This window comes from Homo sapiens, chromosome 15, assembly GCF_000001405.40.
Source record: "Homo sapiens chromosome 15, GRCh38.p14 Primary Assembly".
In the NCBI taxonomy this organism is placed as follows: domain Eukaryota; kingdom Metazoa; phylum Chordata; class Mammalia; order Primates; family Hominidae; genus Homo; species Homo sapiens.
The window spans coordinates 59236091-59253643 of record NC_000015.10 but is presented as its reverse complement, the minus strand read 5'-3'; the positions used below and the strand labels follow the sequence as shown (position 1 = coordinate 59253643).

Below are 17553 nucleotides of genomic sequence, written 5' to 3'. Positions count from 1 at the left end.
CGGGCATGGCGGCGCATGCCTGTAGTCCCAGCTACTTGGGAGGCTGAGGCAGGGAAATCGCTTGAACCCAGGAAGCAGAGTTTTCAGTGAGCTGAGATTGCGCCACTGCACTCAAGCCTGGCGACAGAGTGAGACTCTGTCTCAAAAAAAAAAAAAAAAAAACTCGATCAGACTCAGATTCCGTTTTTGGCAAAGGAAACTTCATCAGTGATGCTGTGCACTTCATGCCTGTTGCTCTCTCTTCGTGTGTCCAGATTGTCAGTGAACCCGTCTGTTATAAATCATTTCAGAGCCATTGTTTAATTAGTGGTTGAAAAATCGTTGTTTTCTAATTCTATTATTTTTCTGCAGTTATTAGTTCTTTTGCTTGGTCACCTTCAAATAAAAACTATGTGGGAAAATTAGACAAAACACTGGATTCACTGCCATTACTCACCTATTTTCAAAACAATTAATTGTTGCCCTAGCAGTCTCCCAAGGTGATGTGTTTTATTTTCAGTATTACTCAAACTAGTGGACTTTTAATATTGTACCTGTTTACATTGCAGTTATACTTTTCAAGGCTGAAATGATCCTGTTGTTGAACAGTGACACTCTTTTTTCTTAGCTCTTATGTCCTTTGGACATGACCGCAGTAGGCTCTGTTGGTTTCCTTCTTTAAGATCTTCTAGCTCATCTTGTATATTTCCTGCGTAGAATCCACAGTCTCTTCAGGGGCCTTGGTTCTTTTCTTTTTCCTTTGCTTTTCCTTTTCTTTTGAGACCAAGTCTCATTCTGTCATCCAGGCTGGAGTGCAGTGGTGTGATCTCAGCTCACCGCAACCTCCGCCTCCTGGGTTCAAGCGATTCTCCTGCCTCAGCCTCCTGAGTGGCTGGGGTTAAGGCATGCACCACCATGCCTGGCTAATTCTTTCGCTTTTTTTTTTTTTTGAGACAGAGTCTCACTCTGTCGCCCAGGCTGGAGTGCAGTGGCACGATCTTGGCTCATTGCAACCTCCGCCTCCTGGGTTCAAGCAGTTCTCCTGCCTCAGCCTCCCGAGTAGCTGGGATTACAGGCACACGCCACCACATCTGGCTAATTTTTGTATTTTCAGTAGAGACGGGGTTTCCCCATGTTGGCCAGGCTGGTCTCAAACTCCTGACCTCAGGTAATCCGCCTGTCTTAGCCTCCCAAATTGCTAGGATTACAGGCATGAGCCACTGCACCCAGCCTCTTTTGCATTTTTAGTAGACAGGGTTTCACCATGTTAGCCAGGCTGGTCTTGAACTCCTGACCTCAAGTTATCTGCCTACCTCAGCTTCCGAAAGTGCTGGGATTACAGGCACGAGGCACCGCACCCCGCTAGGCCTTGGTTCATTTTAATGGGAAATGGCATTAAGAGACCACTAAACTAGACACCAAGAGTGCTCACTGCCCTGTGTTTTCAGTGCCTATAGTTCTTTAAAAGTACAAAGCTAGGGAATATGAGCTTTTTAAGAGAAAAATGAAGTTGAAAAATTAACTGTTTTCAATTAATTTTTAAGATTTCAGAGTTTTTATTTCTTTGATTTTAATTTTTGTATCCCATTTATCTTATGCTGAACAATCTTAGTTCCTGATTACATTAGCAATTATTTGCATTGCATTGTATGCGTTTTAGACAGATAGAATAAGTTTGTTAATGCTGTTAAAGTAACAATACCAATATTATTAGTAGCAATACTGAATTCATTTTAAAATTTCTTTTCTGGTTTTTGTCCAAATATCCAATATTTGCAGTCAAAATACTGGGTTTCATAAAAGTCACTTAAAATAATCCTTTTCTATGTCAACCTGACCTACAGTTGGGTTCATTTATTTCATTTACAATTTCAGTTGTTTTGCATTTTTAAATGTAATTTTGTTTTTATAATTATGCAAAACATTTACATGGTTCCCAAGTCAGTACTGCAAAACATGAGCACTGAAGCATTTCAAGGTAAATACATATCTGAAGTATTTGGAGGTAAATATAGACTTCATGACATTTTACCCCTAAATATTTCCACATGCATCTCTGAGAAATTGAAACATTTTCTTACTGATCCGAAGACCATTATCATAACTCAGTAATTAATAGTACATTTTCAACATCATCTAAAAACTTCAAACTTCTCTAATAGTCGCAAACGTCCTTTTCTGCTGGTTTATGCAAATCAAGTAACGCTGACTGCATTTGGTTATGAATCATAAATTTATTTTTATCCTACCACAATTGCCCTATTACTGCTGTTTTTTTTCATGACACTGACTTTTTGAAGAGACCAAAACTAGTTTTCCTACAGACATCATTTACATTTGTCTAATTGCTTCTTCCTGGTCTCACTATACTTATTCCTTCAGTTGGATTTTCTACAAGTTTAAGGTTATATCTAATGACTTGATCAGATGCAGGTGCAAGTTAAATTTTATGAGGAGGAACACCTGGGTCATGTTGAATTTGGTTGCTTAATAGGAAATGCTTCTGTTTGATACTAAGCGGAGGTCACCGACTACTAGAGAGGCAGGAGGTATTTTCCTAGCTGGAATTTAATGAGGGTCCAGGATGAGTTTTCTGATAGAGTCCTCTGCCCTTTCTCTTTCCTCACATTTTCCCTCTTCTGGGTGTGTGCCAAAACGAGTGGGATGGGAATGGTCTTCTTACATGAGCTTGCTAGTCTGGAGGCCCCCTCAGTCTTCTGCAGCCCACGTGTCTCCCTCCACCTGCACTGCAAGGTCCACCTGCACTGAAGCGGGATGATGCCCACTTCAGATCCTTGTTTCCAGCTGTTCAGGTGGCAGAGATTTCAAGGACCTGCTCCCAAGGATTTCTGTTGCAGTGGCTGTGTTTTCATTTAGGAGATGTGCTTTAATTTAGGAGCTACCTGGAGTTGGGCCAAACTCCAGGTTAAGGACACAGGCCTCCTCGGTAGACTGCCCACCCTGCAGACATCAGCTGCATGTTCAGGGCTCCCCAGGCCACCCTCATCAATTCAGGGGTTCCCACTACCCCCCGCCCCCGCCAGGTTCAGTAGTTCACTAGAACAACTCACAAAACTCAGAAAAGCCCTACACTTAGGATTACAGTTTCGTTCTGGCAAAAGGAGGATACAAATTAAAGCCAAACAAAAGAGGTTGAGGGCGAGGTCTGGGAGGGTCCCGAGGTGGAGTTTCTGGTTTTCCTCTCCCTGTGGAGTCATGGACAGCGCTACCTCCTACCGGTATGAGGTGTGACAATACTCACAGTATTGCCGACCAGAAAACATCACCTGAGCCTCTGATGTTTGGCCTCGATCACGCACCGCCTGCCTGGCCCACCTTCAGTTTCCAGCTGCTCTCGAAGGCTTGTGCAAATGCCTTTAGTTTCCAGTTGGAGGTCAGAATTGCGATGGTATGTCCCAAAGCCCCCGACATAAATCATATCGTCAGACTCTCCTATGGTCAAAGCCCCCAAGAAAGGAAAAGCACTCCTCTTAGGTAGGACATTCCAGGGGCATAGACATCACCGCCCAGTCACCGAGGGCAAAAGCCTGAGCCCTTGAGTTAATTCTCTTCTGCACCAGGGCTGTGGTTTGTCTGCTTTGAGAAAGCAAATTGGAAACCTCTGGCATGCCGTGGTTCATGCTCACCTGACCCTGGGCAGCACGCCTCACACCTGTCTGGGCCTTGGCTTTTTCACCTGTGAAGGAACTGGTTTTGGAACTCTTCCTTCCAAATAATGTTGGAGAGGAGGAAAGGCAGGGAAATCCTGTTCTGGGTGGAAAGGCCAAGTTTGTAGCCCCTGACACTGGATGGGGCAGGTGCTCCATCTGTTAGGGGCCGAGTTGAATGGTGCCTTTTAAAATGTGTTTGTGAGCAGAAAACAAACGAAAAAACCATTTTCTTGGAGGCTGGAAGAGAAGCCTGCTCCTCATGCTAAGGGATTCTGGCATGGCTGGAAAGACTAGGAATCTTTAGTGTCATTTAATTAGGAAATAAAAAGTGAGCGATGACCTAATTTCTATGGTGGTGTTTTAGACTTCCACCTCCCAGTTTCCCTGGTGTGACTTTGTCTAAATGACACTTTAGATGGCATAATGCAGCCCATAAAGGCGGCGTTTCTAGTTTCCTGTCAGTCTTACTCATATTTTCCAACGCAGTGGATACGGTGACAGGATGGACAGGCACCTGACCATTTCAAGACTAGAAATGAGTGTAACAAATCGGATTTTTTTTTTTTTTTTGAGACAGAGTCTTGCTCTGTCACCAGGCTGGAGTGCAATGGCGTGATCTCAGCTCACTGCAACCTCTGCCTCCCAGGTACAAGTGATTTTCTTGCCTCAGCCTTCTGAGTAGCTGGGACTACAGGCACCTGCCACCACACCCAGCTAATTTTTTTTGTATTTTTAGTAGAGACTGGGTTTCACCATGTTGGCCAGGGTGGTCTTGATCTCTTGATCTCGTGATCCACCCGCCTCAGCCTCCCAAAGTGCTGGGATTACAGGCGTGAGCCACCGCGCCTGGCCACAAAGTGGATTTTGAAAGAAATAAATCAAGGAAGGAGACGTGCTGCTTTCTCAAGCACAGGGCTCCATGGAAGCCTAGGTCCATCTACAAACTTGATTTGTCAAAACAGCTGGAGTTGAGCAGCCTTGGGTAGACTGACTTGCCAAGCAAACTCACAAGGAAGTGTGAATCAGACCCCAATTCATTATTGCATAGGCAGAATTCTGCCTGTGGACAGCCGATTATGTGCCCTGGAACACAGTCCACGAAGGGAGCTAGATTACCACGAGAACGCTGGATAGAGGGGTGAATTCTGAGCGAAGGGATGATCGTATTTGCTAAATCAGCTCACAGCAGTCACCTCTATCTGAAGATGTGAACACATGAACTAAGGGTGTTGCTCTAGTCTGCAGAACAGTCTTTTTACTTGGAGAAAACCCCCCATCTCTGCTGTTTACTTTCCTGTCCTGACTCTGCTGTAAGTCAACCCCCTTTCATTAACCTACACTCTCTCCTGCCAAGCCCTGATGTCTATTAGGCCAACTTCTAGTAAGGAATAAACACCTGGGGTTGACCTTGGATATTTCCTATGCCTTCCTCCTCAGCCCACTGGCAGACAAATCAGGAAGAGTGGCTTCTATGGATGCTAACTTTTTTTTTTTTTTTTTTTTTTTTGAGATGGAGTCTCACCCTGTCGTTCAGGCTGGAGTTCAGTGGTGTGATCTCGGCTCACTGCAACCTCCATCCCCCCGGGTTCAAGCGATTCTCCTGCCTCAGCATCCCAAGTAGCTGGGACTACAGGCGCCCACCACCTTGCCTGGCTAATTTTTTTGTATTTTTAGTAGAGACAGGGTTTCACCATGTTGGCCAGGCTGGTTATGAGCTCCAGACCTCAAGTGATCCACCTGCCTTGGCCGCCCAAAATGCTAGGATTACAGTTATGAGCCACCGCACCCGGCCTATAGATGCTAATTTTATCTACCATGCCTTGTGTTCACTAATTTATCTTTTTTTTTTTTTTTTTTTTTTTTTTTGAGACGGAGTCTCATTCTGTCACCCAAGCTGGAGTGCAGTGGCACACTCTTGGCTCACCACAACCTGTGCTTCCTGGGTTCAAGTGATTCTCTTGCCTCAGCCTTCTGAGTAGCTGGGATTACAGGGGTGTGCCATGACACCTGGCTAATTTTTTGTTTGTATTTTTTAGTATAGAAGGGGTTTCGCCCTGTTGGCCAGGCTGGTCTTGAACCCCTGACCTCAAGTGATCTGCCTGCCTCAGCCTCCCAAAGTGCTCTGATTATAGGCGTGAGCTGCCATGGCTGGCCTAGGTTCACCAATTTAACTTTCTAGGGATAAGTATTTCTGATTCCTGAATTGCCTTACTAGTTCAGTGGCTCTACAGATATGTAGGCTCCACCTCCAGAGATTCTGTTTCAACTGATTTGTGGTGGCCTTGGAGCATTAATACCTTTTTTCAAGCTCCCCCAGCTCACTCTGCTTAAAAGCCAGGGCTAAGGCTCTTGAAATCCTGATTTCAGGTCACCTCTTGCTGTTAGCACCATCAGACCCCGCAAGATAGACTTCCTGAGTGCCTGCCCTCTGCTGGTTGCTTTCGTATAGGTTGTCTCTTAATCCTTACCACTCTGTTGGCATTGTTTTTTGAAGCTGCATCTAAAAAATGAGGCTTAAGAGAATTCCAAGATCCAAAACTAGTAGATGGCAGAGCCTCTATTTGAATTTAGCCCTGTCTGACTTCAAACCTTATGCACTTTCTTTATACCTATTAGCAGTGATGTCTCTCTAGGTCTCAAATTTCCCATATTTTAATGGAGATGTAATAGCTACCATATACCATAGGACAGAGGTCAGGACAGGTTCGCCAGGTTAGTTACCCCTGGACTTGAGCTCCTAGGATTAAAGTCTCTCACTCTGTCCCCACAAATACAGGTGCTTTTTTATTTTAGTTTTTGAAAAAGAGTCTCGCTCTGTCACCTAGGCTGGAGTGCAGTGGCACAATTTCAACACACTGCAACCTCCGCCTCTCAGGCTCAAGCGATCCTCCCACCTCAGCCTCGCGAGTAGCTGGGACCACAGATGCGCACCATCATGCCTGGCTAATTTTTAAATTTTTTGTAGCGACAGGGTCTTCTTATGTTGCCCAGGCTGGACTCAGGTGCTTTTTAAAACTAACCCTTTGTCATTGTTGGCCGTGATGCTCTCTGCATACCCAGGAGGATGATGATTGGGCTTGTCATCAACGGAGGATAAATGACGCACAGACTTAGTTAACAGAAGAACATGACCTTATTGACACATTAGCTTTGATTTCTTACCAAGAGGTGAAGATGCATTTATACACCAAATGGCCATACCTGGGCAGTTTCTGTATTTTACCTGACTTGTTATCCAGTGGATTTGTCTGGGGGCCAGAGCTCAGTCTTCCCCTTCTTTTCATGGTTCTCTATGGCCTATTTCTATATTATAGCAGGCCTCTGAGCAGAGACATGATAGCACTGACACCTGGTTCAAAAAGATAAGGTTATTGGTAGAAAAGAGATGGGATGTTGAGGGAATATGGAAATCTATTGCAGCAGTGAGGGCCTGACCTGAGTTAGAAAGGCGAGGAGGAAGCCGACGTATGACTTTCAGTAAGCCTGTAAAGAAATAAAGGAATGGGCAAGTGTGAAGGTAGACTCTGGGCAGTGCCAACAGAAAAATGCAACAGCAATAGCTACATTAGCATCATTAAGAATGATAGTGAAGCTGGGCATGGTGGCTCACGCCTGTAATCCCAGCAGGTGGGCAGATCACCTGAGGTCAGGAGTTCGAGACCAGCCTGGCCAACATGGTGAAACCCCATCTCTACTAAAAATATAAAAATTAGCTGGGTGTGGTGGCAGGCACCTGTAATCCCAGCTACTTGGAAAGCTGAGGCAGGAGAATCACTTGAACCCAGGAGGCAGAGGTTGCAGTGAGCCAAGATGGCACCACTGCACTCCAGCCTGGATGACAGAGCAAGACTCTATCTCAAAAAATAAAAAAAGATTAAAAATTTAAAAAATTTAAAAAAAGAATGATAATGAGCACCTGAAGGCTTGGTAGGTACCTGTGAGCCCAGTAAATGAGCCACCCATATCTGCTTAGCTCATTAATCTGTTCTCCAAAATCCAGAATTTGGATTTGTGCATTAAAACCACATATGTGATACCTTTGGATGTCAAGAGACATCTCTGCAAATCTGTTTAACAAAAAGGTCATGATGTGGTAAAGGAAGAACTGGCAAGCTTTGTTCATGATCTCTACCATCTCTCCATCACCAGACAAGATCTTGACAATGTGGCCAGAGGCATTTCTGAAGCCCTTGCCAACTGACCCATGGAGAATCATCGGGCCTTGGAGAACATTTATGTGGCAGTTTTATTGCTGCCATCAAAAGTGAATTCTTATCACTTTTGGCCTAAATCAGCTCTTGCACCTTAGGCTGTTTAAAAAATATGATGTCAATTGGAAAGCATCCCATTTGGTGCTGTTTCTACTTTTTTTATTTGAAGTATCCTGACGCAGTTGTTTTCTGGTGAGTAGACCATCTGTCCTAAATATATCCAATACCAGTTTGCAAAGTCTTTGTCAGGTGCATCCTGCATAGAAGCTAAATAAATACTTTTTTAAATAATAAATAGAGGCGAGAGATATTTTGAAGGTACATCAGTGGGATTTGCTGACTGATTGAGTAAGAGAGTTTTCATAGAGGAAAAGGAGATAGTAGTCATCACTGGAGCTAAGATTTCTGACCCGTGTGCTTCAACATATATTTTAGATTTGAAATATGTAATTTTTGCAGTAGTAAAGATAAAAGGGAAAAATTCCCAGTGCCGCTCATATTTGGCTCGTGGGTCTCTCGTGCTCTTTGCTGTGGCACCATCAGGTGTCTCCGGATTCTCAAGCTATCTTCCTGCCTTTGATGTATTTCAGGAACCTTTTATTATTAGCATGGGGACGCTTTTCAGGGCTCTCCTGAGTTGCTGTGGGTCCACCCAATTTCTTGTTTATCCCAGCAGCACCGGCCTTTGACCTCGCCATCCCCCTGGCCTGGCTTTGGGAGGCCCTGTCAGCCCATACCTCTGACTATGACGGGGTTGCATGGGGCTGCCGCTGGCTGTAAATCTGAAGAGCAAGGGCCTAGATTGACCCTGTTCCCCAAGCTTTCTGCAAATCTTACATTCTAGTCTGGTTGCTAAAATTCCTTTATCATCAGCCAAGGAGTGCTATTCAGGAGGGCTGCCTAATTAATATATTACCCATAAACATAACAGCAACTCTTTTTCGAGTACTTGCTTTGCATCCTTTTAATTGTATCATTTTTCATCTTTACGTCAGCCTAGCAAACTAGGTATTGCTGTCCCCTACTTTTGCAGATCAAGAAACTGAGTCTCAAAGAGGTAATGAAACTGTTAAAATCTTGCATTTGAAATGTGACAAAGTTGTGCTCCCAGCCAGAGCTGCCCGCCTCCGATACAGCAGTCTTTATACTTTTCTCTGCTGCTTTGAGCCAGCAGGTGTTAGGTTAACTGGTTAATAATCCATTACCACTTTCAGTCATGAGGTGCAGTGGAAAGACCTCTGGGGTGAGTCATAGGGTAGACTCTATTCTCTCTGTCTAAGGCGTGTGACCCCTGCAAGCCTCAGTTACTTCATCTATAAATTGGGAATTTATACCTTAAAGGAATATAAAGAAAGTGTAATGAGGAAATATACATGGAAAACATTTTTTAACTCTTAAAGAGTAATGTAAAAGATCTGCTAGTAACATTCAAAGGAATTTCAGAGCTGGGAAGTAGCTGGGCTGGGACTCAAACTTGGTCTTCATACTCAACATTGGGTTCCTCTGACTGCATCAGGCTGGGCCAAGATGAGCATTGCCATGGGGCCATCCATATTCTTGGCAGAGTAGGTGAAAATTTTGTTTGCTTGACAACACCAATTAACTAGATATTTGTCTGGGGTTGGGAAGAAATAACAGCTGTTGGTCTTATTCACACTTTCCTCAATCTGTTAAGGAATGAATTTGTCTTATTTAGCCAGTGGTTTCAGCATGGCTGTTTGTTTTTGTCTTTTATACCATTAGCCATGGCATGTATTTGAGAATTAGTTTTTTAGTGTAATTCTAAAGTCCGATGGAGGACCCCTCTCTCCATGACCCTGGAACCTCCCAGATGTGCTTCACCTCCGACTTGTTTCTGTTCCAGATCTAGTAGGGCTGCCAGGAAGCGGAGTCTGTGAATTGAGCCATTGGAGAAGACTGTCCAGGACCTTCTTTGATGTGGTTTCTCATTCTCGCAGAATTACTTTGTCTTATGATCACAGTGATGTAGGCTATTTATTATTTGTTAGTTCCAACTCTGCGTGAGGTAATAAATGTTGTTGGCAGAAGGCTTGCTTAAATGGGTGTGTATCAGTAAAGACTCAGGAGTAGCTAAAAGTTTGCTGATACTATGAACTGTGCTGTTCATGGGGTTCCTTTGTGAAACCTTGTTGATTTTTATTGACTAGTCAACCCATATGAGGGTCTTAAAGGTTTACCGTCCTCTGAGCAGTAGAGCTCTTGCCCCTGACACAGACTCTCTCACCTCCTTTTCTAGCTCTTCCACTCACTAGCTAAGTGTCCTTCAGCAAGTTTCTTACCTTTTCTCACTTCAAATAATGGAGATTATAAAAGCACCTACCACACAGGACTCTTATGTGGACCAAGTGATTGACACATGTAAAGCACTTATAACAGTCTCTGACATGCATGATACACACAATGAACACATCGTACCTCCAATTATCATAGCCACAATATTTCAGTGTGTTCCTTTCAAGCCTCCTTTGGAATTGATGTTATTTCTCATCGTCTAGACTATGTTTTAATAGATGAACAACTGCGTTCATCTTTTATAACTCTAGAATTACAAAAATTGGTTTTTAAAAACTATCACTATATTTTTAATCCTTGGGTTATACCTTTTGAAATAAGAGTTGTGTTCAATACTATATCTCTCTATATTTGAAAAAAAAAAAAAAAAGCAGGGTCTAATTAAATAAGTCCAGTGGGAATTTCCACTGTCTTGTTTATCTCCCTGACACATTGACATGGTTAATCCCAACTCCGTTGGCCCCCATGAAGCCACATGCATCTTCCTGCTTCTCTGTGTACCTCTCTGACTTTTCTATCTTGTTCTCTGTGTTTGCCATGTTTTTTGCCCTTTACAGCTTTAAAGAGTTCAGGCATTAAATTTTGTGGGATGACTTCAGGCTGAGTCTACCCATTTCCTCGTGACCAGGCTCAGGTCATGCATTCTAGGCTGGACTACCATAGAAACAATGCAGGGCTCTTGATCACCTGGTTCTGTAGGCATCTGCTAGGTTTCTTCTCATTAAATTAATTTTATTTTCTTTTAGGATGTGTATTTTGTGGGGATATATTCTCAGATCATGACAACATCCTTCTCCACATCCAAACCTCCACCTACCAGCCTTAGCATCCATTAATGACTCCTGGACACCTGTATGATGGCTGCCAAATGGTGATATATCTGTTTCCATCATTCCTTCCACATTTATTAGTTGGTATTCCACTGTGAGGAAGAGCTTTCCTTTCTCTCCTATTTACTGATTGACTCGTTTACTTTCGTATGGCACTATGGAATTATGGCTTCCTATTTTATTCAAAGGATCGTAATCCATTATTATCATTACTTATTTTGATTTGGCCAGTGGGAACCCCTTCCAGCTGGCTCTTATATGCTTGACACGTCCACACCAGTCACTGTACATTTCCTTACCTTTTGGCACAGTTATATGTTCCACGCCCAGTTTGAATTTTCCCCACTCCAGCCCTGGCATTGGTCATTTCCCAAAGCAGCCCTTGTTCTTTTTATTGAAGAATAGTATTCAGAGACCAACAAAAAGTGTGTCAATTTTGAAAACTAAGTAAATAATATATCAGTTGTTCTGTATAGGTAAAGGCAAGTTTGTCGGTATGCTGCCTTGAGAAAATGGAAGTCTAGAGTCTATATAAAATGTAGCACGAAATGGCACAGGCCAGAACCCTTGGTGCATCCCCAAACCTGAACCCAAGGTCACTGTCTTGGATCTCTGCACTGCCTTCCAGCTCCACTCCCTACCCCTCCCAGCTTCCCACATCACAGTCAAGGCCTATTATTTATTTACTTGTTTATTTTATTTTATTTTATTTTATTTTTTAGAGACAGGATCTCACTTTGTTACCCAGGCTGGAGTGCAGTAGCTCAACAATAGCTCACTGCAGCCTCAACCTCCTGGACTCAAACAATCCTCCCACCTCAGCCTCCAAAGTAACTAGGACCACAGGAGCACACTACCACACCCAGCTAATTATTTTTAATTGTTTTTATTTAAAAATTTTTATTTTTATTTTTATTTATTTATCTATTTATTTTTGAGATGGAGTCTTGCTCTGTCACCGAGGCTGGAGTGCAGTCGTGCAGTCTCAGCTCACTGCAACCTCTGTCCCCTAGGTTCAAGTGATTCTCCTGCCTCGGATCTCTTGAGCAGCTGGGACTACAGGCGCATGCCACCACACCTGGCTAATTTTTTTGTGTTTTTAGTAGAGACGGGGTTTTACCATGTCGGCCAGGCTGCTCTTGCTGCTCTTGAACTCCTGACTTAAGGTGATCCACCCGCCTTGGCCTCCCAAAGTGCTGGGATTATAGGCGTGAGCCACTGCACCCAGCCAATTGTTTTTATTTTTATTTGTTTTATTATTATAGTTGTTGTTTCTTTTGTGTTTTGGGGTTTTGTTTTTGTTCTTTTTAAGAAACGAGATCTTGCTGTTTGCTAAGGCTGGTTCTCCAACTCCCGTGGCCTCCCACATTGCTGAGATTACAGGTGTGAGCCACTGTCTCCTCAAGTCCTGTTTAACTACCCATGGTTCCCTTCATGTGTACCCCACAGAATTTTTGCCTCTTATGTATGGCTCAGGCTTCATCCCAGCCCCTGACATGTATACACACAAGTACACATACACACACGCAACACACCTGGCTGATTTGATTGTCCTTATTGAGATGTAACTAGTTGTGACTTCGTTTAGTAATCTTCTGATCAGGGATAGCTGCCACCCCCAAATCCCTAAAGCCATACCCACATCTCCACTGTGTTATTAATAGCCTTTGTATACTCGACTTCCCTGTAAGACAGTGAGTGAGCTCTTCTCTGACAGGAGCCACATCTCATTCTGGCCTTCGGCTTAACACACTGGGGCAGAGGGGGTTGTTAGACAGTGTGTGTTGCATGAACAAAAGTAGACATCATTTTTGTTTTAAGTGTTTGTCCTTTTTAAACCACAAACAAAAAGTTGGAAAAGTGATATTTCAATTACGTTGATTCAGCCAGTTACAAGGGAACACCAGTTCCTGTGGTACAGAGCCAGGAGAGAGATTTTTAGATCAGAAATGGGGGATGGGGGTGCATTGGTGAGTCGTCCAACAGTGGTAACAGCGGATCCTACTTATTTTAGGGAATATCTCAAAAAATCAAAATAAAAAAGAACTGAAATATTTTTACATTTGCTGAATAAGTTGAAGTGAATAGAAAATACTATTGACTTTTAAGTGAGGAATAACCTTTCTCAGAAAAATAATTATGGTCCTTGGATTATACCATTGTAAATGGCTTTTTTTCCCCAGAACATTCTTTCCATTTCGTTGATATTTTACCGTATGTTTCCATTTCTATAGTTAGTACACAGACCCCCCCCACACACAGACACACACTCTACAATACTTCCTATTTGAATTAATATTTCCTATAAAGTCTGTTATGACTTTGATTTAAAATTGCTTGGCTTGTTCCCAGCTGGCTATACAAGAACTAGGGAGTTTGTTAGAAATTCCTATTCCTAGACTCTGTCCCTGGAGACTGGGATCCAGCAGGTCAGAAGACGGGCCCAGACATGGGCAATTAAAAAGTACTCTGACGATTCTGATAGACTGCCAGATTTGGGAACCACTGGGATATTTTCCTAATTTCTAGAGTATTTGTGTGTGTGTGTCCATTTTATAAGTCAATTAAATTAGGACGGGCTGCCTGGAAGCGTAAACAAAGCAAATTGCTGTACAATAACTGCTGTGAGATGCAAAGTAAATAATTTGGGATATATTATTTTGTCTAAGACCTTCACTTTCTTTTAACTTGGGTTTTAGTGCCGGAGAAGAAACAATATGTTCTCATCCCAAACAGGCCAGCATAATTATGGTTGCATATACTGTAGGTTTCAAGTCATTCTGTAACATTCCATTATTGTACCATATTTTGACCAACTCACCAGCCTCTGATCAATAAAAATTCTTCTTAAGTGTCTGTAAATTGAAACCAAGTAATGAAAATTCCGATCAATGTTTAGTGAGAACTAATTATTTTAAGTCTGCTGGAAAAGATCATAGTTGCTGAGAATGCAGATATCCTATTTTTGGAACTGGTATACTTATTTTGATATATTAAAAGAGCTACTTTCCATTATTATTACTTGCTTTTGTTTCCAACAAAAGAGACAAAATATTTCATGTCTGAATACAGTATTAACCAAAGACACAGTGGGAGGATTACTGGGATTACTGTCCTTTTATAATTCTTTTTTAAATTTAATAAATTCCCCTTTATATATATTATTTTATAATTCTTATAGGGTTTGCTCACGCTTGCTCTCTCTCTCTTTCCCAGCTTGTTCTAGTAAAGTTTAAATGTGACAGTGTAAACTTAAGGAAAATATACATACTTATGGTGATATGTAGGAAGTTGAATAATAATAATGTAATGAAATTGATCAGTGGTGATTATTGTGAGGTGTGATCCCTCCCTTTTCTCTGGAAAAGCTGTTTTAAAAAATCTGAAATACACAAATTTTAAAAAATAAAAAAAATATATATATATATATTTTTTGACACAGTTTCATTCTTGTTGCCCAGGATGGAGTGCAGTGGCACAATCTTGGCTCAATGCAACCTCTGCCTCCCGGGTTCAAGAGATTCTCCTGCCTCAGCCTCCTGAGTAGCTGGGATTACAGGCACCTGCCATCACGCCCAGCTAGTTTTTGTATTTTTAGTAGAGACGGGGATTCACCATGTTGGCCAGGCTGGTCTCGAACTCCTGACCTCAAATGATCCGTCCACCTTGGCCTCCCAAAGTGCTAGGATTACAGGCACGAGCCATTGTACCCGGCATAAAAATCTAAAAAAAATAGAAAATTATGAGAAAGCACATGAAAAGGAAAAAGAGCCAGGTGTCGTGGCTCACACCTGTAATCCCAGCACTTTGGGAGGCCAAGGCAGGCGGATCACCTGGGGTCAGGAGTTGGGACCAGTCTGGCTAACATGGTGAAACCCCGTCTCTACTAAAAATTAAAAAATTAGCTAGGCATGGTGGTGCACACCTGTAATCCCAGATACTTGGGAGGCTGAGGCAGGAGAATCATTTGAACCTAGGAGGTAGAGATTGCAGTGAGCCAAGATTGTGCCACTGCACTCCAGCCTGGGTGACAAAGTGAGACTCCATTTCAAAAAAACCATTCCTATACCAGCCTCCTAACAAGTAAGGAATATTTCTTTTTCCTTGTCAATTTGTTTTTGCCCATACATTATTTTCACATAGTTGTAAACTTGTTATAAATATAGTATCTTCTATTCACATTACCACTTAACTTAGGCTGCATTATCTTTATGTTGCTACATACTCTTTGTAAGTACTTCAAATGCCTGTGCAGTATTATATTGGGTGGTTGTGCCATTGTAAGCTTGGACTTTCCAATATTCTTGAATGTTTACATTGTTTACAACTTCTAAAATGGAGTTTCATTGTTGCCAAACCGTGTAATTCCAATGAGAGAGTGTGTGTGTTGACCCTGGATCTAGTAAATACATCATCTGAGTATGTCAACCATTTGAAAAGATAATTTCCCCATGGAGTTGAATTTGCCCGACCTAGTTGCTGCCTGTGAGTAAGCATGTCCTCTGGAAGAGTGTGACACCTCGTCCCAGGCTTGCTGGTTTTCTACTTGCTACTGTAGCTTACGAAATTTCAGTTTGGTTTTCTTATTCATGTGACCAGGAAGCCAGGAGCATAGCACTAGGATGGTGAGTGACTTGCATAGGTGGGTTCAGACTTTTGCAGGTCATGAGCTCTGAACAGAGGATGGTTCCCGCCTCCCCATAATTTCTTTAAAACCGTATTATTAGTTCAAGGAAATTCAGCAAAGTTCTGAGTTTCGCTATATGGCCAGCTCAATTCTCTGTTCATTTGTTTCTTTTGTTTTGTTTTGAAATGTAAAATTATTTCAAATTTCAGTTTCCTTTTGGGAATAGGAGTGTCACCTTGCTTGGTTGTTCCCCAAGCAAATGTTTTCTCTTTCCTTGAGTAACTCAGCAATCGATAACAATTAATTTGGGCTGGATATTCATAGAAGAACATTTGCTCTGCGCCCTAAAATTTTTTATCGCGAAGCGCGAACAAAAATATTGTCCTATGAACTTGTAGCAGTCTGCATTTTTCATACTAACTCCCACCATCATTTTATATGATATGGGGTTCTTTAATTCTATCCTGGTAACACAAAGGGTACCAATAGAAAGATGAAAAATCTGACTGACTTAAGCATGTTTTGAATTGAGGTCATTATCAATTCAGGGGGATTTTGTAGGAAGAATGGGGATTTTGAAGAGCAGACTATATATTATTAACAAAAGGCTCTCCCCATGCAGGAAGGCTACCCAGCGGAAGGTGGCCTTTGTTACTCCGGATGTGATTAATATTGCTTCAAGGTTTAATTTTAGAACTTCTAAAATAAGGAAGCTTGCATCAATTCAAGGCACATGGTTTGAAACCTCAGAGTGCCCACTTTTTCTTTTCTTTTTTTAAATTACAAAAATAGCATATGCATTATAAAATGTTTGAAAACTAATGAATTAAAACAAGTTTCTCTAGTCTCTGGCTTGACCAAAGCCTTTGTTAATATTTTGTGGTAGTTCCAGTCTTTTTTTTAAGAAAAAAAAATTGTAATCATGTTTTGTATATAACTTGAATGACTTATTTCACTTAACATGATTTCATTTGCTTGTTTCCTGTGTTTACAGTCTTCATGTCAGTTGTAATTTATGTAGAATTCCACCCTTGTGATACTCCATAATTTTCCTAATCATATCCCCCATTATTGGGCATGTAAAATGCTTAATGGTCAGTGGTGTGCACAGTGGTAATTATCCACACCATGTTAATCCGGCTCACACGGGTCACATGGGCGACCTAATCCTGCTGTAACTTGCCTTTCTCTACTGGTATTGTACTTAAAAAAAAAAATTCTTTTCTGCCTGTTTTTTTTGTTTTTTTGTTTGTTTGTTTGTTTTGTGTGATGGGGGAGACAAGGAAGGGAGCTGGTCGCAATCCACTTCTCAGGTGGATTCTTTGTCTGTCTTTCTTTAGTGGTGAAAGTGGTGCTGGAAAAACAGTGGCTGCCAAATATATCATGAGCTACATCTCCAGAGTGTCTGGAGGAGGGACCAAAGTCCAGGTGAGTGGGCAGTGGCCCATTATGATACCTTATGTTATGGGAAATGTAAGAGGCTCCATTTGCTGTTAGAAAAGAATTTTTCTTCCACAGAAAAGACACTGGTTCTTCTATAACTGTGAAACTTGAAATCTGGAATGGAAAGGAATAGCATATGTATGTGTGTTTGTGTGTGTGTGTGTGTGTGTGTGTGTGTGTGTGTGTGTGTGTGTGTGTGTATATATTTTTTTTTTTTCTTTTTTGAGACAGAGTCTTGCTCTGTTGCCCAGGCTGGAGTAGTGCAGTGGCGCGATCTCGGCTCACCACAACCTCTGCCTCCCGGGTTCAAGAGATTCTCCTGCCTCAGCCTCCTGAGTAGCTGGGATTACAGGTGTGCCCCACCATGCCCAGCTAATTTTTGTATTTTTAGTAGAGACGGGGGTTTCACTATGTTGGCCAGTCTGGTCTCGAACTCCTGACCTCAGGTGATCTGCCCTCCTCGGCCTCCCAAAGTGCTG

At 42.2% G+C, this 17553-nt stretch overlaps 1 protein-coding gene across 1 annotated transcript in view; it reads left to right on the top strand.

The window, feature by feature from the left end:
* The window catches only part of MYO1E (myosin IE), a 240438-nt gene that overhangs the window by 119228 nt on the left and 103657 nt on the right, over positions 1–17553 (top strand). The window contains exon 5 of the mRNA NM_004998.4: positions 16972–17059. Within this exon, the coding sequence (NP_004989.2) occupies positions 16972–17059 (88 nt within the window). The remainder of the gene's footprint in view (positions 1–16971; positions 17060–17553) is intronic.